General features: G+C 43.2%; 1 protein-coding gene and 1 non-coding gene across 3 annotated transcripts in view, besides 4 other annotated features; both read right to left on the bottom strand.

Annotated features, from left to right (window-relative positions):
• The window catches only part of MBD2 (methyl-CpG binding domain protein 2), a 73,064-nt gene extending 70,626 nt beyond the window's left edge, over positions 1-2,438 (bottom strand). For both annotated transcript variants that reach the window (NM_003927.5, NM_015832.6), the window contains exon 1: positions 1,787-2,438. In NM_003927.5, coding sequence (NP_003918.1) covers positions 1,787-2,328 — 542 coding nt within the window. In that variant the 5' untranslated portion in view covers positions 2,329-2,438. The remainder of the gene's footprint in view (positions 1-1,786) is intronic.
• On the bottom strand, positions 53-181 carry SNORA37 (small nucleolar RNA, H/ACA box 37). The gene has a single exon (NR_002970.1). It is a non-coding gene; the product is annotated as a small nucleolar RNA, H/ACA box 37 (small nucleolar RNA).
• Positions 2,139-2,528: a silencer, noted in NCBI's record as "silent region_9470". NCBI's record gives its function as "represses an Ori minimal core promoter by ATAC-STARR-seq in GM12878 lymphoblastoid cells {active_cell/tissue: GM12878}" and the evidence as "EXISTENCE:reporter gene assay evidence [ECO:0000049][PMID:35858748]".
• Positions 3,279-3,821: an enhancer, noted in NCBI's record as "H3K4me1 hESC enhancer chr18:51751880-51752422 (GRCh37/hg19 assembly coordinates)". NCBI's record gives its function as "activates a minimal SCP1, AML or CMV promoter by ChIP-STARR-seq in naive H9 embryonic stem cells {active_cell/tissue: H9 hESC(naive)}" and the evidence as "EXISTENCE:reporter gene assay evidence [ECO:0000049][PMID:30033119]".
• Positions 3,822-4,362: an enhancer, noted in NCBI's record as "H3K4me1 hESC enhancer chr18:51752423-51752963 (GRCh37/hg19 assembly coordinates)". NCBI's record gives its function as "activates a minimal SCP1, AML or CMV promoter by ChIP-STARR-seq in naive H9 embryonic stem cells {active_cell/tissue: H9 hESC(naive)}" and the evidence as "EXISTENCE:reporter gene assay evidence [ECO:0000049][PMID:30033119]".
• Positions 7,480-7,559: an enhancer, noted in NCBI's record as "active region_13342". NCBI's record gives its function as "activates an Ori minimal core promoter by ATAC-STARR-seq in GM12878 lymphoblastoid cells {active_cell/tissue: GM12878}" and the evidence as "EXISTENCE:reporter gene assay evidence [ECO:0000049][PMID:35858748]".

Below are 22,840 nucleotides of genomic sequence, written 5' to 3' on the forward strand. Positions count from 1 at the left end.
GAGAAAACTAATCTTTTTTTAACCACAATAACCTTTTTTTTTAATCAGAAGAAATTGTCCCATTGAATGACAGCTGCCACTGGCACAGTCCCAGGGCAAGGATGCCAACAAAGGTTTTCTCTCAGCACCAGCTACCAAATCCTGGCCCCACAGCCTGAGGGAGGACCTGTGAAAGTGCTCACAATAACTTTCTTACCATTAAATCAAATATTTAATGATGAGGAAATACAAACCAAGACTATCACACTTTTTCTTTTTTTTCTTTAAAGAGATGGGGTTTCACTCTATTGCCCAGGCACAATCATAGGTCATTGCAGCCTCGAACTCCTGGACTCAAGAGATTCTCTCGCCCCAGCCCCGTAACTGGGACCACAGGTGATTACTACCTTCTTATGTTTAAAAGAAGTTCTCCATTTTATCATATGAGGTTTCAAGATGAGGGTCCAGATCAAGTGGAAGACTAAGTTCTATGAAACATCACTTTTATTTTTTAGTTGAGGTGAAGTGAACTTACTACAACTACTCATCCATATATAGCAACCATCAGGAATGTGTTCGTATTTACATGCTGCACCAGCAGTGATCACATTCTTGTGTGTGCATATGTATGTATATATGTGTATGTACATTTCTTTAACCTTTTCAATCTAGTTAAAAGTATTTTTAGTTCATAAGCATGGTATGTGTACAGACACATTTTCCCAGAGCTACTTGAAGAGGACAGGAAATCCTTTATAACATTATTACAATAGCTAAATGACAATTGTCTCCAATACCCATATACATTCCCTGAAAAATGCTTCAGTCAGTCCACAAACACGTACCTCCAAACTACTGAATACAAGTTTATATTATCTTCTATCAATAGCATGGCTTATTACAAAATTTAGTAAATGTGTATTAAGTCCACGGATGTCAATTGCCATAGGCACTTTCTTGAGCTTACTGGGTCACACAAACTGAAGACATCAGCAGCATGACCACGGGATTGCAAGATTACACTAAGGTGAAAAACCTTGAATCATTTAAAACAGGATGTCTCAACCTCAGCACAGGTGACAATTTGGGCCAGATCATTCTTTGTTGTGGCAGCTTTCCTTTGTATTATCGAATATGTAGCAGCATCTCTGGCCTCTACCCACTAGATGCCAGTATCACACCCTCCCCAGGTGTGAGAACCGAAAATGTCTCCAGACATTGACAAATGTTCCCTGGGGAGCAAATTTTGGTCTAGGAGTCTAAAAACTTAGTACAGTGTGTCAGTTTCAAAAGAGTATATTCTGCAATACCAAGAAGTTCCAAAAAAACTTCAGGCATTCCAAATAGCTGCTTTATACAAAACTTTCTTGGATGAAGTAAATGAAACCTTGTTACTGTAGATAGCTCATTCTTCCACATGTGCATGCTTAACACTTGTGATGATGAATCTGGGACAGGCTGGGACAGGAGCCAACAGTGACTGGGTTTTATAGTTTCGATGAATTACACCTCCTTTTAACCCTTCAGTGGACTAACCATCCCTGCCAGGCTAACCCTTTCTTCGCAAACCATCTTCCCCGACGCCTTCCACATAAGATGCCCTCCTGCGGGCCCTCACCTTTTGACACTGCCTCCCACCGCACTGGGGTCAACTCTCACCCAAGGGTTCCGCCACCTTCCACCACCAAACCAGCCTGTCCCTGCCACATGCCCCCCGGGCCCCAGCGCTCATCCTCTGCCCAGGCCCGCTCTTGACCCCTGACCCCGGCCTGACCCCGCCACCCCCTCCCCGCCCCCAGGGAGGTACCTGAAGTAGTAGACATCGCTCTTGCCAGCACTTAGCCCAGATTTTCGGATCACTTCCTCCTTCTTCCATCCGGGGGGGAGGGCCGGGCAATCCATCCTCTTCCCGCTCTCCGTGGCCCGGGGTCCCCTGGGCCCCGGCCCCGCGCTCCCCGACGGGAAAGGGACCGGCTCCCGCCGGGGGGCGCCGCCGCCACCGCTGCCGCCGCCGCCGCAGCCGCCGCCGTCGCCGCCAAGGCCGCTGCCGCCACTCGGGGGACGGCCGCGGCCCCGGCCCCGGCCCCGTCCCCGTCCCCGGCCACGGCCCCGGCCCCGGCCACGGCCACAGACGCCGCCGCCCCGGCCCGCCTGCTTCCACCGCCCCCGGCCACGGCCGCCGCCCCGAGCGCCTTCCCTGCGCACGCCGCTCACCGGGGACGGGGCGAGCGCGCTGCCCTGGCCCCCCTGCTCTATGGCGGAGTCGCCGCCAGCGCCGCTGCCGCCCGCCGCACTCTCCCCCTCCTCCTGCTCCGGGCAGCAGCGGCCTCCCCCCGGGTGCGCGCGCATCCAGCCCCCTCCCCAGCCGGCGCTGCGCTTCTTCCGTAACCGAGCCCTTGGAATCCCGGAGACCCGCCCCGCCCGCAGCGCGGCGCGCGGGGGACGCGCGCAAGCATCATAGAGCGGGCGCGCACAGAGCGGCCCTCCTGCCCGGGGCGTGGCCCCGGCCACCGCCTCTTAGGTCCTCCAAGCGCTATGGGCGGCCATCTTGTCTCCGCCTTCTCGGGGCCACGCCCCCTCCCGCGCTTTTCCGGCCCCCACTGGGCGCGCGGAGCTGGGAAGGTTGGTCGGGCTAGCCACCAGCTGGGGGTGTCATAGTGACTGTGGTTAGTTTGTTTCAAACGGGGTAACCTCCACCATTATGTGATTTTACCTATGTTTGCTTCCCAATTAATGAATAACAAGCAAAATAGATCTTATATTACATACCAACTCGGCTATTCATTTAAGGGGGTGATAGCCCCTTTTCCCGCCCCTCTGCACAAAGCTTGCAGGGGAGCTTATAATGAAGGAATGAAGCAAAGTGTCCCATTCGCTGAATACCAGTTCCCTCCTGAGCCTGGCTTCAGAGCCATTGACAGATTCTCCTGGAACCTTGTAAGGATGTAGGAAAGGAAATGATAACTTGGAATATGCCCATGAGTCAGATGGGGCTTACCTCTAGATTCTCCTTAGAATGACCAGAATCCCTAAATCCATCTAGAAATTTCCAGATGTCTTTGTCTAATACAAAAATCAGTGGCCTTTTATTTGGTAAATATTCCATTATGTTGAAAGTCCAGCCTAACTTACTGTCACAAGCCTTTAGGAAACTGTGTGGTATTCTTTTCGGTCTGCCAACTTGAATTTTAGAAATGCATATTTTCTATAAGTTGTCGAACACTTATAGAAGTGTGCTATTGATATTCAAGATAATATATTATGAAATATTTGGAAGATTGAAAAATGTAAAGCACATGTTATCAGCCTGATGATAAGCTATCTTGGGTTTCTATACTCATATGCCCTAAAAACTGAGGACCAAGTTTAACGTATAGAAAAAGTTGATTAATATAAAGCAACAAAAATCTAAAATTAATTTGGTTTATCTTTGCAGTATATGCAAACATTAACTCATACACACAAACTTGTCTGTCTCTAAACCTGACCTTAGTCTTCTTTTAATGTCCTTTAGTTGAAAGACACTAATTTGTGGTTTCCTACAAGAAATTTAGAAATGTGAATGTAAAAAATCATCAAGAAATGAGTTCTGAGGAGATCAGTACTGGAGACATTCATTTAGAAGTCATCTGTGGGCCGGGCGCGGTGGCTCACGCCTGTAATCCCAACACTTTGGGAGGCAGAGGCGGGCAGATCACCTGAGGTCAGGAGTTCAAGACCAGCCTGGCTAACACGATGAAACTCCGTCTCTACTAAAAATGCAGAAAATTGGCTGGGCGTGGTGGCGGGCGCCCGTAGTCCCAGCTGCTCCGGAGGCTGAGGCAGGAGAATGGCGTGAACCCGGGAGGCGGAGCTTGCAGTGAACTGGATCACGCCACTGCACTCCAGCCTGGCAGACAGAGCGAGACTCTGTCTCAAAAAAAAAAAAAGAAGTCATTTGTGGCCGGGCGCGGTGGCTTACTTCTGTAATCCCAGCACTTTGGGAGGCCGAGGCCGGCGGATCACGAGGTCTAGAGATAGAGACCATTCTGGCCAACATGGTCAAACCCCATCTCTATTAAAATACAAAAATTAGCTGGGCGTGCTGGCGTGCGCCTGTAATCCCAGCTACTCGGGAGGCTGAGGCAAGAGAATCGCTTGAACACGGGAGGCGGAGATTGCAGTGAGTCGAGATCCCGCTACTGCACTCCAGCCTGGCAACCGAGCGAGACTCCGTCTCAAAAAAAAAAAGTCATTTGTGAAAGTGACAGTTGAAGGAGGCCCTGGAAGTAAGTAAGCTCTCCAAGGAAGGGCTTGCGTGGTTAATAATAAAAGGAAAGAGGATCAAGAACTGAATCTTGAGGAATGCCAATACTTAAGGTTCCACTGAAGGAATAAAGGAAAAAAATGATATTAAAGTTTGTATGACATAAGAGAGTACTCTGATTTTCACACATAATTGAAAGTAAAGGGTAAACATGAGCAAAAATCTCAGTAGAAACGGTAATTGAGACAGGTAGTTGAGACAACAGATGGGAACAGGTATGCTTTTGGAAAATTCTACCTTTTCATGCTGTGCTAATAAGGCTGTAGATCAAATGATATATTGGATATAAAAGCATGCTTAAAGAAATAAATCACAGGATTTTCGGGTCATTATTTTAACTTCTACTACCAGATTCCATTTGCTAAATCCCAGAAGATGTAGCTTAATGTTCCCTCTGTTAAGAAAAATCTCATTTAGACATGTCAAAAGCTTTTTGGTTACACTTGAACTTTTCTGCTGTGATACCATAGAGCAAAGTAAAAATATATATATATATATATATATATATAAAATAAAAATAAATGCTCTTATTTATTCTCCCACTAAAAGAAAAAAAAATACTCCAATTAAGGCAACAATAAATTCCAAAGGGGACTAGATTGAGATCTAAAAGGGTTAAGAATAGATGCTAAATACCTGAGAGACAGACCCCTTTGTTTCTCTTAAAATACTGGACAAATAATAAACCTTTTATAATTCTCGGAAACTGCATTTTCTATCACTCCTCCAGGAAGCATAGCAACGTTATTTTTCTCGGGTAGTAAAGTTGTGACCAAATTTTCAATTTGGTCTCTCTTACAATGGAGAAGGTTTGCTAGCTTATCTCTTGGAGAAAGTGAAAGACAAAAGCAAGATAGGATTATGTATGAAATCTGGTCCACTAAATGAACAACAGAGATGTAACCACCTGTGATCTCTGCCTCCCAGGTATAAAGGCAGGTGCTAAAACACCAACTGTCACCCCTAGAAGACTATTCTTTCTTTGATTTTTCCCTTTATTGTTTAGCAGGTAAAGCTGAATGAAGTTAAGCCATTAAAGAAAAAGTTGTGGCCGGGCGCGGTGGCTCACGCCTGTAATCCCAGCACTTTGGGAGGCCAAGGCAGGCAGATCACAAGGTCAGGAGATCGAGATCATCATGGCTAACACGGTGAAACCCTGTCTCTACTAAAAATATAAGAAATCAGCCAGGCGAGGTGGCGGGCGCCTGTAGTCCCAGCTTCTCGGGAGGCTGAGGCAGGAGAATGGCGTGAACCCAGGAGGCGGTGCTTGCAGTGAGCTGAGATCACGCCACTGCACTCCAGCCTGAGCAACAGTCTCAAAAAAGAAAAGAAAAGAAAAGAAAAAGTTGTTTTAAAGAAAGCTGTTAATTTGGATTTTTATTTTGAAAATTAGAACAAATTCAGGTAATGAAACTTCAAAGAATATTAGGAGGTGAGACTGATTTTGAGAACTATATATTTTGTCAAATATATAACCTGCGTTTAAATCTTTGAGTGTGATAAAATACCCAATAAAAGCAGGTGTTTTTTTTGGTTTGTTTGTTTGTTTGGTTTGGTTTGGTTTTTGTTTTTTGGTTTTTTGTTTGGTTGGTTGATTGGTTTATTGGTTTGTTGTTGTTTTGGCCTCCTGTGTAACTGGTACCACAGGTACGTGCCATCACACTCAGCTAATTAAGACAATTTTTTTTTTTTTTTGTAGAGATGGGAGTCTCCCCGTATTGCCCAGGCCGGTCTCAAACTCCTGGGCTCAAGCAATCTTCCCGCCCCACTTCCCGAAGCCCTAGGATTACGGGAGTGAGCCACCGCACCCAGCCAGAAAAACGTTTCAAATATTGGAAAACCTTACTTTTTTCAATGAGCATTTTTGCATCAAGGGGTAACAGGGACATTAGGCTTTTTTTCTCTTAGACTCCAAACAGTAAGGTCAGAATTTATCAAGACATTACATAGGAGTAAGGGCACAGCCAGGGGTGGTGGGGGGAGGACATTTTCCAGCACTAATTAACAGGTTTTATGATTCACTAGGTTGGCCCAACTACTGTTCTCACCTAATTCCCAGGCACAGCATGTCAGGAGGCCAAATGACACTTTCCAGTGCAAGTGCTTGTAGTATGAAGGGGGCAGAGATCACCTAGTGACCATCAAGCAGGCCATCCAGAGGCAAAACTCCTTATGTGAGGAATTTAGAAGTAATTAGACTCCCCTGTTATTTAAAGCTGGCATCTGGGTCCAGGCTTCTTCCCCAAAAACTTGTAAGTAACTAGAATTTCTACATGTCTCCCATGCATGCATGTCAAAACTTATCGTGCAACCCTTGCTGACATTAAGACACCAAAATGTCCAAAAATGTAATCATTTATCATGACCTAAGTGGTTAATATGGCCCAAATTCCCTTTAAGCTCCTGCTTTAAGGTTCATAAATATCCCTAAGGAAAATCCACTCAGTCCTCTCTTGCTGAGGCACCCTGCTGTACTCTTCTGCACTGTTCTTTCTTTCTAATAAAACTTTCTTTTTCGAACCTATACTGTCTTCTGTAAATTCTTCTTACTACCCTATGACCCGTGAGCCAACCACTTTCCGATGCCAGGGTTCTGACACCTCACCTGGCATAATATAAAGTGTTTTTTTTTTATACCCTTCCACTTGGAAAGACTACAGAGGAATCTTGCACTGCATAGTTCAAACTAAAAAGAGAAGAGTTAATTACCTGAAAAGCAAGAGAAAACAAGAAGGGGTAAATTTTGAACCAAGGGAAATCATTTAAGAAGTGTCTGGTATTTTTCAAATTTCTGTCAGTTGTTACATTTGTCATAAGTAAATGTTTAGGAATAAAGGATGGAGACATGCTTATTTTATTTAACTCCCCCAAAATAAAAAAAAAAAAAAAAAAAAACAGTGCAACCAGTAGAAAGAAAATGATCTTTAGGTTTTAGAGCCCTCGGATACCAATTAATATGCTGAACAGTGGTTTTTTACTTTAATTCTGGCTGCAAAACACCAGAATGCTAGGACATGTGATCCATTAGAAATGAGGGCTGACTATGCTATGATTGCGGTTCACAAGTGAGGGAGGAGTAGTCACTGAGTAAATCAGAAAATACATCTCACCAAGAGACTTTGTACCTAAAATGGCTTTCCCAAGGCCTCACGCATACCTCACAAGAGGCAAGGCAAAGACTAGAACTCCAGTTTCCTGACTCGAAGTTTAGAGCTTTATCTGCTTTCACTGCCTGTCCCACCTTCAATGGCCTCTTCACTCTCACGCTTGCTGCTACTTCAAATTGGAAAAACATTGTCTGTTTCCACCCACACTCTCACCCCAACCTTCCGTTTGGCTATTTTCTACTTATCTCTTAGGTTTCACCTTAGACATCACTTCATCCAAGTTGCCTTTTCTAACCTCCCCAGAAACCCCACTGCTGATTCAGTGCCCCCCAGGTTGTATACTCTACGCCACACTAGTATCATTTGGTACTTCCTCATCCATTTATTGTACTTTATTGAATTAGTTTTTTAATTGTCTTTTGTCCCCCACCAGCCCACAAGGCACTTTTCATATTCAACTGCATTCTCCATGCCTATTACTGGATTTGCCGGGCACATGGGAAGGGTTCATTAGATACCTGATGAATACATTGAATTAATACTTTTTTTTTTTTTTTGAGACGGAGTTTCGCTCTTGTCACCCAGGCTGGAGTGCAGTGGCACGATCTCAGCTCACAGCAACCTCCACCTCCTGGGTTCAAGAGATTCTCCTGCCTCAGGCTCCTGAGGAGCTGGGATTACAGGCACCTGCCATCATGCTCAGCTAATTTTTGTATTTTTCATACAGACAGGGTTTCACTATGTTGGCCAGGCTGGTCTCAAATTCCTGACCTTAGATGACCCTTTTGTAAAAATTGTATAGTCTTAAAATAATGAGCAGCATGTTTGCTTCTCAATGAAAGTATAATCACATGGATTATATAAAAAAGAAATTCGGCCGGGCGCGGTGGCTCACGCCTGTAATCCCAGCACTTTGGGAGGCCGAGGCGGGCGGATCACGAGGTCAGGAGATTGAGACCATCCTGGCTAACACGGTGAAACCCCGTCTCTACTAAAAATACAAAAAATTAGCCGGGCGTGGTAGCGGGCGCCTGTAGTCCCAGCTACTCGGGAGGCTGAGGCAGGAGAATGGCGTGAGCCCGGGAGGCGGAGCTTGCAGTGAGCCGAGATCGCGCCACTGCACTCCAGCCTGGGCGACAGAGCGAGACTCCGTCTCAAAAAAAAAAAAAAAAGAAATTCACAGCTCATCCAATCTTTGAAAATTTGAAAAGGTTTCCATGCCTAAGAGATATTTAACAATAAATTTGACTTTTTTTGTATAAATGTGGGGTACAAGCGCAATTTTGTTACATGCATCTATTGTGTAGTGATAATCAGGGCTTTTAAGGTATCCATCAACCATATAATATACATTGTACCCATTAAGTAATTTCTCAGCAACCACCCTCCCCCACCCATCACTCTTCCAAATCCGCACTGTCTATTATTCCACACTCTATGTCCATATATACACAATAGTTAGCTCCCACTTATAAGTGAGAACAGTGATATTTGACTTTGTGTGTCTGGCTTGTTTCACTTAAGGTAATGACCTCCAGTTCCATCCGCATTGCTGCAAAAGACATGATTTCATTCTTATTTATGGCTGAATAGTATTCCATTGTATATATATATGCCACATTTTCTTCATCCAATTATCTGTTGATGAACACTTACATTGATTCCATATCTTTGCTATCGTGAATAGTGCTGCAATAAACATATGAGTATGGATATATTTTGGATATAATGATTTCGAATAATTTCTTTAACTTTAGGTTGATAAGCAGAATTTAACTTTATTTTAATTAAAAATGAGGCTTAAATTCATTTTACAAATATGCTTGTTTATAACAGTTATAATGTTTTATTTAGTCTCTTCTACATCAACTTTAACTTGAACTTTTCATTAGCTCCTCAAAAATATTGTAGACTATATATCATAAAAGATAATCACAAAATGACTACTTCTGAAAAACTATTTCTGAATTGAAATATTTATCTGCATTCATGTTTCTGCTCATTTGACTTCAAATAATTTGACTCCTCCTAATACTCCAAGTTATATATACTCACATGTGTCTCATGTCTTTTTATTTTGGAACCATCTACAAAGTTGTCAGGGTATTTTCTTTATGGCTTTGCTCATTTCTAACGGGCCCCTAATCTGTAGTACTTTTGAGCATAGTTTAAAAACCTAATAGAGGGCCCATGATTTGGCCCAGTGACCTTGTTCTGAAACACTTTCAGACTTTGTATCCCAAATCGTTACCTACCTCAAGACTCCCCAACAAGTTAATCACAGTTATATACCATTGTACACAATTGCTTCTCTCCAGGCAGCTGTTATTATTGCCACGTATCCTTCTACATATCTTGGAAGTCTGTCCTCTGGGGTGGGGGATTAGAGCAATGGTGACCCAGCAACTTTCTCTGTCACCATCTGTGGCAGACACACTGGTTGGCAAAATCAAACACCCATTAGCAATTTGAGTTTCCCTTGCCCACCTTCTCTATAGAAACTAGAAAGTATAAATACTCACTCTCCCAATCTCACTTAGGCAAGAATAGGAGAGAAGCAACAGTGACTGTGGGAAACTGTTTACTTCTTTATCTAAAAAAAAAAAAAAAAAGAGACTGGGCATAGTGGCTCAGGCCTGTAATCCCAGCATTTTGGGAGGCCGAAGCGGGTGGATCACCTGAGGTCAGGAGTTCAAGACCAGCCTGGCCCACATGGTGAAACCCTGTATCTACTAAAAATACAAAAAATTAGCCAAGCATGGTGAAGGGCGCCTATAGTCCCAGCTACTCAAGAGGCTGAAGCAGGAGAATTGCTTGAACTTGGGAGGTGGAGGTCGCAGTGAGCCGAGATCATGCCATTGCACTCCAGCCTAGGCAACAAGAGCGAAACTCCATCTCAAAAAATAAAGAAAGAAAGAAAGAAAAGAAATAAAAAGATATGATCGGCACCCCCCTTTTGCCCTTGCTCCTGCTGGAACTTGGGCGTGATTTCTGAAGCTGTGACAGCCGTCTGGCAACTATGAAGCAAAGAACACTAAGATAAAAGGCCAGCATCCTAAGAATAGCAGAGCCAGAAAATGGAGAACTGAATGACATTATTGAGCGGCTGAACTGTCTTGCAACTGTTTATCTCCAGACTTTTTGTTACATGAGAAAGACCATGTTTGATTAAACCACTGTTTAGTTTTTGGATACGTGCAGCAGAAAGCATTTTTTGCTCAAATAAAATTTCTTCCTTTAATGGATTGTTTAAATCTTGCTAAAATTCAGGCAGCTCCTAAACTTGAGACCTCGGTATAAGAGATTGCAAAGAGTAAAGGAAGAAGCCAGAGAGAAATATAAAGAGAGAGAGAGCAGGGGAAAGTGGTTAGTAGGCTTTCCCCTAGTAGCAGCAGTCCAGGAGAGGTCTCCCTTTCACACTCTGGTGGAAAGAAAGGCATTCCAAGGGGCCACCTCTACTTGGGCTCTAATTCCCTTGCTAGGCACAATGGAAGCTCCAGCTCCAGAAGGTATGGCCCAGTAAATTATCTTTGAACTTGATCATTTCATAGCAACTGTCCTCTTTTCTGAATACAGTAACAGGTATGGGGAAGGAGACCCTTGATCAGCGTTTCTCCAACTGAGATCCACAGATGGACTCAGTTTGCCAATTCCCTACCACAAAATTTTGGCATAAAATTTTCATTTCCATAATAATGTTTTTATTTTCTTTTAAGCCCCAACATAAGCATACAATGGACTGTCTGCATAACCATCTGGTATCTGAGTCATGTTTCCTTATTTCACTGCCCCAGCTTGATCTAGTTGGTAATAAGGAGTGCTACTTTGAATGACATTGACTAATGATAAAGGAACAGATGCCAACATAATACGCAAATAACGAGTTTGTGCATATGAAGACTTCAGGGCACATTGAATGAAAGTTTTGTAATCATTCCATCAGAGAAAAGTGGTGGGAAAACTTAGTCACCTGAAGAACACAGTGGCATCTATAGGCCAAAACCCAAACTATCTGACTAGTGTCAATTTGCATCATCACTTTGGGATCAATAATTTGGTTTCTAGGAAAATAATAATCTATAATAGCAATTTGACTTGACTACTGTTTAATAATTTGACTTGTATTTAACTTATAAATTTATTCAATGTTTATAATTACGTAAGAGCCGTAAGGTTAAAATGAGTTAAATGAGGTTAAAATGAGTTTTATGTTTTCACATATTTATGTAACATCAGAACAAGAATATAACACAGGTTGGGTGTGGTGGTTCATGCCTGTAATTACAGTACTTTGGGAGGCCGAGGCGGGAGGATTGCTTCAGTTCGGGAATTCAAGACTCAAGACCAGCATGGGCAAAATAGTGTGACATAGTCACTACTAAAAATAAAACAAAAAAATTAGCCAGGCATGGTGGTGCCTGCCTGTTATCCCAGCTACTCAGGAGGCTGAGGCTGGAGACTTGCTTGAGCCCAGGAGGTCAAGGCTGCAGTGACCTAAGATGGTGCCACTGAACTCCAGCCTGAGCAACAGAGTGAGACCCTGTCTCAAAATAATAGTAATTCTTATTATTATTTAACTCAACACTGTGGAACAGAGTCCTCAGTAACTTTTTCCTTGAAAAAGAAATATATATCCTTTTTCAATTTTGAGAAACAGTTCTCTAATTTTCAGTCTCACCATCAAATTCTTTCTTCCTATGTGATGAGATTTCTGAGAAATTAATAAGTGTAAGTGTCTCTCATGACCCATCTTGAAATTCTTTCTCTCCTTGGCTTATGAGATATTATACCCTTCTGATTGTCCTTCTATTACTTTCCAGTTCTGTTTGGTATACCTTTTTTCTTGGATAGTTCCTCAAATGCTCTGTTCTCCCAGGTTCCATCTTTACATGCCTTTTCTGCTCGTTCTACCTGCTCCGCCTTGTCAATGTCACCTACTTACAAGCTTTAGCTACAGGAACTCACCCTTGCCCTCCAATGACAACATGGCTTGTGCGACATTGGCAAGATCATCCTATATATGCTGTAGATAACCCTATAGCAGTTTTCCAGATGAAAGATCATACTCATTGGCTACTTCTGAGGTCTTGAGGAGGTCCTAAAACTAGTACCCCTGTCCCTCCTGAGTAGTGAAACTAATTAAGAAACAAGAAAAGGAATGAGAAAAATGACATCCAGAATAACTCCATCATGAGAAAGTATCGCTTAGAGGATGTGTGAAAGCTGAATGGGCTTGTCACTGAATTCCAAAATTTAATGGCCAAACCTACCTTGCTGTAACGAGGCTGTCGACAGTCTCTCTCCATCCACTTCTTGAGGTCTGGCCTTTACTCTTACATTTTGTAACATGACCAAGAATAACCAAGAACAAATGTGCTAAGCAGGCAGGAAAATGCCAAACAAAGAAGAAAAGAGAGGAAGGAGCTGAGCTACCAAGATCCTGTTCTTTCCAAATTCACCATTCACTCTATCTCTTCAGGGGATTGGGGAAAAAGACCACAAGTGTGAAGAGAAGAAGAAGGAAAACAACAACAACAACAACAAAACACTGTTGAAAAACAGGAGAAGAAAGGTGACATTCCCCTTTAATAGTAATATCATTTGTGAGTGCTAAAAACTGTTTCCTTAAGTGTTGTTTCAAAATCATGTTACCCCATAAATATATATCTACTACCTACCCAGGAAAATTTTAAAAGAAATTTTAAAAAATTTTAAGTTAAAGTGTTGGTATTTTTTCTGAGAAGTTTGGAAAATATTCAGATGAATTAATACTAAATTTAGAATACCAGATTATAAAATCTAAATGGTCCAAAAAGATAGAAGGACAAGATATTGCCATAATATTTCAGTAAAGTAAAGCAAGTTTATAGATTTCACTGGGACATATATTGTAAAGGTAGGGGTAGCACAAGAAAAAGTCAGTAATGTGATTTAAAAGAAATATAATTTTATTCAGGTCTAGTTTTTGCCTAACCTTGTTTTATCATGAAACAGTTAAGATAAGGAGATAATCTCTGAACATACTTCTTTTAAATGAGCCTTTTGTGACCATTGTGAGAATATATATATTTTCTTTGCCAAAGAACTATGACTTTAGAATATGTGTTATTTACTCTTCCAAGATACAGCTGAATTGGAGGGGGATTGGGTTGTGCAGATGGCACTTTTTGCATGTCCCTTGCTCAGATAATTGGATTGTAGAAATAAAAGAAATAATCAGGATGTCAAATTTTAACATTCCTTTTACTCATGGATACTTTGGTGTTGCTCTTATTTCCATAGGCAGAGGGCAGATGATTTTCAGCCCCATAGAAATAGCAGAATGTGCAGGCTACTAACTTCGCTTCCTTGAACTAACATTATGATATCATCACCGGATTCCTCAGCACAACAGCCTGTTCTTAACTCAGTTCCGAATGTTTTCTCTCACTATCATCTCGATCACTTCCAAATGTTTTCTCTCACTATCTTCTTGATCAGGCCATCCCATTCTTAGGTTCTTACTGTGCCTTCTCACTTTGTCTTAAACAGATAAAGTCCTTCAGCTGATTACATTTCAAATGCGTCACCAGGTTGGCCAGAACGCGTCGGTTTCTTCCTATCTTGTTTCTTCCACTTTTTTAAATAAAATAGATTTTTCTAGGAGGACACTATTTAACTTTTCAGCACATATCTCCAAGTTTTTTTTCTAGGTACATAGAAGCCCTGCTTTCTGTATATTGTACCATTTTCTTATTCCTTCAAGACATTTTAAGGGTCTTTCCTGCCCGTATACACAGAGATTCCAAACAGCTTTCCTATGTTTTACTCATTAATATGGGCAGCCAGGATCTCCAGGCATTTGAAGAAAGCCTTTAACATGGAAAAACAGCGCAAGAAAAAAAAAAAAAAAAAACACAGCGGAAAAAATAACTTTGGCAGAAACAGAGGAAACAAAGGGAACTGAAGAAGCTTTTAAAAAATCTGATGATATAACATTATTCAGAGATTAACATACTCGGAAGATCCTTTAGGATGAACCAGACAATGTTAGAAAAGAACAATTGGACGGGCGCGGTGGCTCACGCCTGTAATCCCGGCACTTTGGGAGGCCAAGGCGGGCTGATCACGAGGTCAGGAAATTGAGACCATCCTGGCTAACACGGTGAAACCGTCTCTACTAAAAATACAAAAAGTTAGCCGGGCGTGGTGGTTGGCGCCTGTAGTCCCAGTTACTAGGGAGGCAATGGCATGAACCCGGGAGGCGGAGCTTGCAGTGAGCCCAGATCATGCCATTGCACTCCAGCCTGGGCAACAGAGTGAGACTCGGTCTCAAAAGAAAAAAAAAAAAATTGGAGGATAAGGAAGAGCTCTTAGAAATGTAACTATAATAGCATAATTTTTAAAAAAAATCAGTAGAAATATTAGAAAATCGTTAAGAAAATCTCCCAGAAAAGGATGTTAAAAAAAAAAAAAAGGAGATCAAACAAGGAGGTCCAGAAACCTTGTTTGATTTATTATTCCTTGTCCAGAAATAACAGACATTCCAGAAACAAATAGCAGACATAACATAGAGAAATGATTTTTTTCTAATTAAGGAATTTTTCTTGACATGAGTCCTCTAGATTGAAAGGCCCACTGAGAACCCAGCATAATGAAGAAAATGCAATCCCACGCCTACATGCAATGTCATGAAACTTCAGAACATCACAAATAAAGGCCATAAAAGCTTCAGAGATAAGAAAATGCGCATGTAAAAGATTGACAATAAGAATATCGTTGAATTTCTCAACAACACTGAAAGCTACAAGGCAAAGAAACAATGCATTTACAAATTTGCTTTTAAATTATTTTCAAACTAGGATTCTATACCCAGTCAACAATCATCCTCAGAACTACAAGGTAGATCTCAAAAAATATGTTTCTCAAGCACCCTTCCCTAGAAAGCTGCTGGAGGATGTGTTCTACCAAAACAAAGGAGTAAACTAGATTTATGAAGGTGAGAGATCCAGGCAAGAGGGATTCCAGCACAAGAGAGAGGGAAAGAACCCCAGGATGATGAGGAATGAAGCTCTTAGCTGCACAACAGGCCTGAAGAGCAATATTCCAGGTTAAAGGAAGAGGACAGAGGTTACGGAAGGCACATCTCTAGTGGGGAAAAAAAGAGGATTGGTTATCTGTGCTGATGGCTATGTAGAAAATTATATTAAAAAGCTCTTGGAGTGTGTGGGGAAAAGATCGGTGATAGTTACATAGAATACTAAGAAAATTTTAAAAAGAGGTCATCATTGAACTTTGATGAAATTCTTTGATGAACTTCCTTGATGAAGGGAAAAAAGAAAAGAAATATAATCATGGTCATAATATAGTGATATTTTGTAGTATGTAACGGTGGTTAAGTGATTGAATCAAAAATTAGAAAGGTGAACCTACACTAGAGGAAACAGCTAAAAAAGCAGAAATGTGTTACCTCGGGGGAGTGGGACTAAGAAATAAAGAGATGCAACAAGGTACTGCATATTTCCTTTATATACTTCCATTCTTTAACTTTTTGAACCATGTGCCTGTATTATTTTGAATAAAATTTGACAATTTTAAAAAATTGTAATGTGATTTTCTTTTGGTACCTTCACTAACAACCTAATGATATTAAGGTTAATTATCTCTTTTTCCTGAGTGGCTATTACATGCCAGCCCCTGTGTTAGACACTATGCATGCATTATGTTTAATCATCACAACACCATGCAAAGTAGATATTATTATCTTCAGTGTACAGATGAGAAAACTAAGGCGTTGAAAGATTAAATTACCCATCGCTGTTTACCCAAATGACAAATAATAAATTTGAAGTTGAGCCTAGGTCCATCTAGTTTTAAAACCTAGGCTCTTTCCATTACACATCGTGGGTAAGTACAACTATACATTTCTTTATATGAAATTTTAATTTTTGTACGGTAACTAATTATTCCCTGTGTGCACTTTATGTACATTTGAGTCACTGTTGTTTGTGATGGCGTTATTCCTTAAATCGACATTTTCAGCATGTAGCTTAATATCTTCTTCAGGCTCCTAGTATATAGTACTGGAGTACTCTTCCTGTTTTTCCTTTAGCTGACCTGAGGTTCAGAGATTGCTCTCGGCTGTAATTCTGAGCCAAAATAAATTTTTAGCACTGAGTGATAGCTCTGAACTGTTCATGGTGTTTACTGGCAAGTCTGATTGCTTGGTGAAGGCAGAATAAAAATACCTGTTAAAGAAGGAGAGTTGTGTCTAGAAAATCAGAGTCCCTGTAGGCTCAATGACTACAAAGCTGAATATTAGAGCAGCAGTCTTACCAGAGACAGAGAGGAAAGCTTGCTCTTTGAGTGAGAATTATGCCCTCATTCCTTCCCCTTACTCATCTCCTTCATCTATTAATCAGGGAGTTCTAATATAGGAGTTTCATGAAGATAAAAGTAAATAAAAAGATTAAAGCAATATCAAAACATTTAATGAGAAATATTTTTTCTTTAAAAGACATATAAACAGAAATGTTTGCAAATGTTTCTAAACATGCCATTTGTCTAGAGTAAATACATAAGAAGATAACACTTCTTGGAATCTAGTAGCAATGTTTTAAAATTGCTCAAGCAATCCCCCAGCTTCAGCCTCCTGAGTAGCTGGGACCAGAGGCATGTGCCACCATGCCTGGCTAATTTCTATATTTTAAATTTTTCTGTAGAGACAAGAGTTTTGCTGTGTCGCCATAGCAAACTTCTGGCTTAAGCGATCCTGTTGCCCCTGACTCCAAAAGTGCTGGGATTACAGACATGATCCACTATGCCTGGCATCAAACTAATTATAGAGAGAAATGGAGAATTAATAGATGTATGAAAATATGAAAAGATAAATTTGTTCTTATTTTAGCATATATCTTCTGCAAACTTTTCAAAGCCAAATCATGATCTATCACAAAGGAAACAAGTAATTAGTGAAACCACAAATTAAAAAATGATGAATTTTACAGTTTTAAAAATGAATAAAAAATTATATGGTTGCCATATAGATAAGAAATACTTTCATTAAACATTGTTATTTTTCTGAAGAATAGGCAAAACAGAGACTTTTAAAACAGTGCTTCAGGGGAATTTTTTGAGGCGTTTCCCAAATGCATAATTTTTTTAAAGTCCAAGTTTTAGCTTTCTGTATACTTTTCATTTTAAAGCAATCTCAAACTTCCGGAAAGATTGCAAGAACATCTGTTTCCTCACCATTTTAAAACAAAATTGCTAACATGACCTTCTATAACCCCAAATATTTTAATTTGTAATTCTTACAAATAAAGACATTCTCCTCCTTAATAATGGCAATGTAACCATCAAAATAAAGAAATTAAAATTGATACATTACTATGATCCTCAGACGACATTCAAGTTCTGACAATTGTCTCAGTGATATTTTTTGTTTTTGTTTTTGTTCTTTCGAGACGGAGTCTTGCTCTGTCACCCAGGCTGGAGTGCAGTGGCACGATCTCGGCTCACTGCAACCTCCGCCTCCCAGGTTTAGGCGATTCTCCTGCCTCAGCCTCCTGAGTAGCTGGGACTACAGTGACATGTCACTACGCCCGGCTAATTGTTTTGTATTTTTAGTAGAGATGGGGTTTCACTGTGTTAACCAGGATGGTCTCGATCCTCTGACCTCGTGATCCGCCTGCCTCTGCCTCCCAAAATGCTGGGATTATAGGCGTGAGCCACTGCATCCAGCCATCCATCAACTTTTAACTTATTGGAGGTCATTTTATGCTGCTGGCTTAACTCATTTTTGCATAGAGCTTAGCAAGCAGTTTATTGTTTTCCTCAGGTTCTTAGTATAATATTGAAGGACTCTTCATATTGTATTTTTCTCTAACTGAGCTGCATTTCAGAGATTATGCTCAGCTATAATTCTGAGCTTAAAGAAATTTTAACACTGAATGAGAACACTGAACTGTTCTCAGTATTTATTTGCCTGGGAATAAAGCATCTGTGTTAGTTTTCTTTTGCTAGATAACAACTTACCACAAATTTAGCCGCTTAAAGCAACACACATTTGTTATTACACAATTTACATGGGTCAGGAGTGTGGAAATGGCTTCACTGGGTCCTCTACTAATGGTCTTGTCATGGGATCCTTGGGGCGTTTCTTTGCCAGCTGGAAACCTCTGTGGTTAGTGGCGCCTTTGCCCGAGTTTTGCTCTGGCCCACTGGGCTTGTTCCGCCCACTCGGCCTGGCAGGCTGCGCTCAGCTTCCACTACCAGCCTGGATCCCATGTCTGCCAAGGGTGAGCCAGGCAAGGAGCAGTGAGGGGTTTGTGAGCAAGCGTGGGGTCTGGTCACTGCGCATAGCCAGGCATGCTGGCTGCAGTGGGGCGGGCAGCTCCAGGCCCAGCACAGGCACCGGCTCCCTGCGATGCTGCAGCTAAACCAGGTGTACCATAAGCAGCTTCCACAGCTGACACCGGGGAATGCAGTGGTGCCCAAAAGCTTGGAAACACCAGGAACCATAGATCCCTAAAGAGGGTGTCACAGCCCCAGCTTGGGGAGCTTCTAGGTCTGGGATCCCTGAAGGGTTGCAGCTGTTCTCTGCTTCTCTCTTCTAGTCACCCTCAATGTGGCGAACAAGGGACATGTTTCAGCCCTGCTTGTGTTACAGCTCTTTTTAGCCCTGCCATTCAGCGGGTCCTGAGTTCTTGTCCTGCATCCAGGAAGAATGAGGTATGCAGACAAGTGGAGGATAAGCAAGACAAAGAGGAGCTTTATTGAGTGATGGAACAGCTCAGAGGAGACCCACAGTGGGTAGCTCCTCTCCATAGCCAGGGTGCCCTGATGAGTGTTCAGCTCTCAGCAGAGAGGGTAGCTCCTCTCTGCTAGGCAGATTTTCCCTGTGAGTGCTCAGCTCTCAGTAGAGAGGGTACCTCTTCTCTACAGGCAGGTTATACCAATGAGTGTTCAGCTCTCAGCAGAGAGGGTAGCCCCTCTTGGAAGCTGGTTGTCCCGTGTCTCTCCATCCTCACCTCAAGTCTAGCTGAATGAGGTGGGGGTATGGGCCTCAGGGGGAGGAAGTGTGGGCTGATTGGTCTATGGGTGGCCATGGGCGGGCCCGGGTCAAAGCACCACAAGTTCCCACTCTGGCCCCAGGGATGGGCAGCCTGGCCCCCAGGCTTCAGGCCCAATGGGCTTGAAGGTGGCGCTTCACCAGGGACCCACCCCCTTCCATCCAGGAGCCTGTCTGCCTCCTGCCATTGTTCATGATGCCCAGGCTGTTCATGCCAAGGGCCGCCTGCAGGCCAGTGCTGGGCTGTCCTCAGTACCCCCTTGGCCTCTCTCTCATGTTTGTCGGCACCCAAAGTCCGGAGGGGTCTGAGATGGCAGGTGCTGCTGTGTCAGCACTGCCCCAAGCCTGTGCACACCCTGCCAGGCTGCAACAGCACTCGGGTTCAGCCCCAACTTTGCTTCAAGATTGGATTGGGCAACCGGAGTGGGAGCCAACAGTGGGGAGAAACCAGACAGTGGGAGCAGGCACTTCCAAGCCTGCAAGGGAAGCGGCGGCTCCCTGGGTCCCCAAGAGTGCAGAGATCCCTGGGCCCATAGCCACAGCTTTTGTGGCTGCAGCTGTGCCTGGGAGGGTAGAGCTCCTGCCTGCTCCTGGCTCCCAAGAGCACAGGGGTACCTGGGTGGCAGCCGTGGCTTGGGCAGCTGCCGTTGGGCCTGGGGAACTCCTGGCTCCCAAGAGAACAGGGGTGCTCAGGTCACAGAAGGCTTGAGCGGCTGCAGGCGCACCTGGGGAGCTCCTGCCCCACCAACTCAGAAGCGGCGCAGCTTCCACTTGTCCCCGGCTCCAGCAGGCTCAGTGGAACCCCGTGCAGCCCTGGCGGTGCCTTCTCTTCACGTTTTCCCCGCAGTGCGTTGGCCCCGGCCATCCCCACACAAATGAACCCAGTGCTTCCAGGGCTGGCCCTGTGAGTCCCGGCTGCGCCCTCAGCTGGGTGCTCGTGGGCTCCTGGGATGCAGCGGGCAGTGAGGTTGAGGTCACGGTGGAGGCTCCAGACCTGGGAGCAGGTCCTGCCCAGCTGTGCGAGGTAGGGGTGGCACATTTGGCTGCGTCGGAAATGCGGGGCACAGAGCACCCACCGCCACTACTGCTGCTCCCACAGCCACCGCTGCTGCCACTGCTCGTGCCTCCCTGCTGCAACCAGCATGATGGTAGCAGCCGCTCTGGACGGCCTGCCATTGCCATCAGTCTCATTTCTGAATATTATGCTCTTGGGTGTATTGAAGGTATTGACAAGGGCTACAGTCTCATCTGAGGCTCAGACTCCTCTTCCAAGCACATGTGGTGGTTAGCACAGTTCATTCCTTGCAGCTACCGAACCCCCTTTTTTGAGCCAGGATCTCACTCTGTTACTGGGGCTGGAGTACAATAGCACTATCACAGCATACTGCAGCCACAACCTCCCCGGCACAGGAGATCCTTCTGCCTCAGCCTCCCGAGGAGCTGGGACTACAGGCACAGCCACCACATCCAGCTAATTTCTGTATTTTTTGTAGAGACAGAGTCTCACTATGTTGCCCAGGCTGGTCTCAAATTCCTGCACTCAAGCAATCCTCCTGCCTCAGCCTCCAAATGTTCTGGGATTACAGATGTGAGCCACTACATCCGGCCAGCTAGCTATAGAATTCTTGATGGTTTGTTTCTTCAAGACCTGCAGGAGAGCCTCTGACTTCCATCTGGATACCCTTTGTTGAAAGGGGTCATCTGGTTAAATCAGGCCCACTAAGGATAATTTCCCTTTGATTAACATAAAGCCAACTAACTGGGGACCTTAATTACATCTGCAAAATTTCTTTACCTTTGCCAGCTGACATAATGTAATCACAGGAGTGATAGCCCACCACTTTTGCCATATTCTATTCGTTGAAAGTTATTTAAAGGTTCTGCTCACACTCAAAGGGGAGGGGAGTATACAAAATCTATAGCTTTTCAGGGTCACACGTACGATTCTGACCACCACAACTTTTCTACCATCTGGATTAATATATTTAAAGTGTTTGGTTTTTTTTGTTTTGTTTTGTTTTGTTTTTTTGAGGCGGAGTTTCATTCTTGTTGCCCAGGCTGGAGTGCAATGGCGCGATCTCGGCTCACCGCAACCTCCGCCTCCCTGGTTCAAGCGATTCCCCTGCCTCAGCCTCCTGAGTAGCTGGGATTACAGGCGCCCGCCACCATGCCCAGCTAATTTTTGTATTTTTAGTAGAGACAGGGTCTTGCCATGTTGGCCAGGCTGGTCTTGAACTCCTGACCTCGGGTGATCCACCCGCCTCAGCCTCCCAAAGTGCTGGGGATTACAGGTGTGAGCCACCGAGCCTGGCCAAAGTTTTTGTATTGCTTTAATGGTTATTGACTGTTCTGACTTAGCTTTTTGTTTTTTCTCGTCAATTTTAATTTAGGTTTTTGCATGTCTGAACACATAAAATTGTACAACTAAAAACACTCTTAGAACATGTGGGTACCATTGTGAATTATCAGTAACAAGTAAATGTACAGCATATTGAATTGTGATGTTTTCACATTAGATCAGTTTGACATTTATTTTAAATTTTTGTGTTTCTTCCCCGAAATTTTTTATAAGGAATGAAATCAATTGTTAGATATCCTTAGTAATTCAATTTAGAGGCAAATATTTGTTGTCATCCTCTCAAGCTTCTGAATCAGTTTAATTGAAGAGTATACTCAGTTTTCAACTGGCACTGGTGAAAAAAAAGAAAAAAAAAAGAGAAACAACCACCACCATTTGGAACTTCTTGTTTGTGTGAATCTGGAATTTCACACAGACAAGATATAGAAATGAATGCTGATGCTGATACATCACCAACGGTCATCCACAAACTCTCCTTGGGAAATCGTGTGGCCATTATTCTCTAGTTACATTATTTTTATTAAGGATTACAAAGTAAATACATAGTCATAAAATTATTCTGTTATGCACAGCGGGGTGGTGATTGAGGTGTGTGTGTGTGTTTTTTTTTGTTTTTGTTTTTGTTTTTAGATGGAGTCTTGCTCTGTCGCCCAAGCTGGAGTGCAGTGGCGCGATCTTGGCTCACTGCCACCTCTGCCTCCCGGGTTCACGCCATTCTCCTGCCTCAGCCTCCCGAGTAGCTGGGACTACAGGCACCCACTACCACGCCCAGCTAATTTTTTTTTTTTTTTGTATTTTTAGTAGAGATGGGGTTTCACTGTGTTAGCCAGGATGGCCTCGATCTCCTGACCTCATGATCAGCCCACCTCGGACTCCCAAAGTGCTGGGATTACAGGTGTGAGCCACCGCGCCCGGCCTGAGGTGGGTGTTTTGAGTGAGATTTTGGAAATTTTGCTTGACTAAAGGGTCTGTTGCCTGAAAAACATTTGAAAGCCACAAAACAATTTGAGCAATGATAGTAGTGTATTGGGAAGCCT

Source organism: Homo sapiens, chromosome 18, assembly GCF_000001405.40.
Source record: "Homo sapiens chromosome 18, GRCh38.p14 Primary Assembly".
Taxonomy (NCBI): Eukaryota; Metazoa; Chordata; class Mammalia; order Primates; family Hominidae; genus Homo; species Homo sapiens.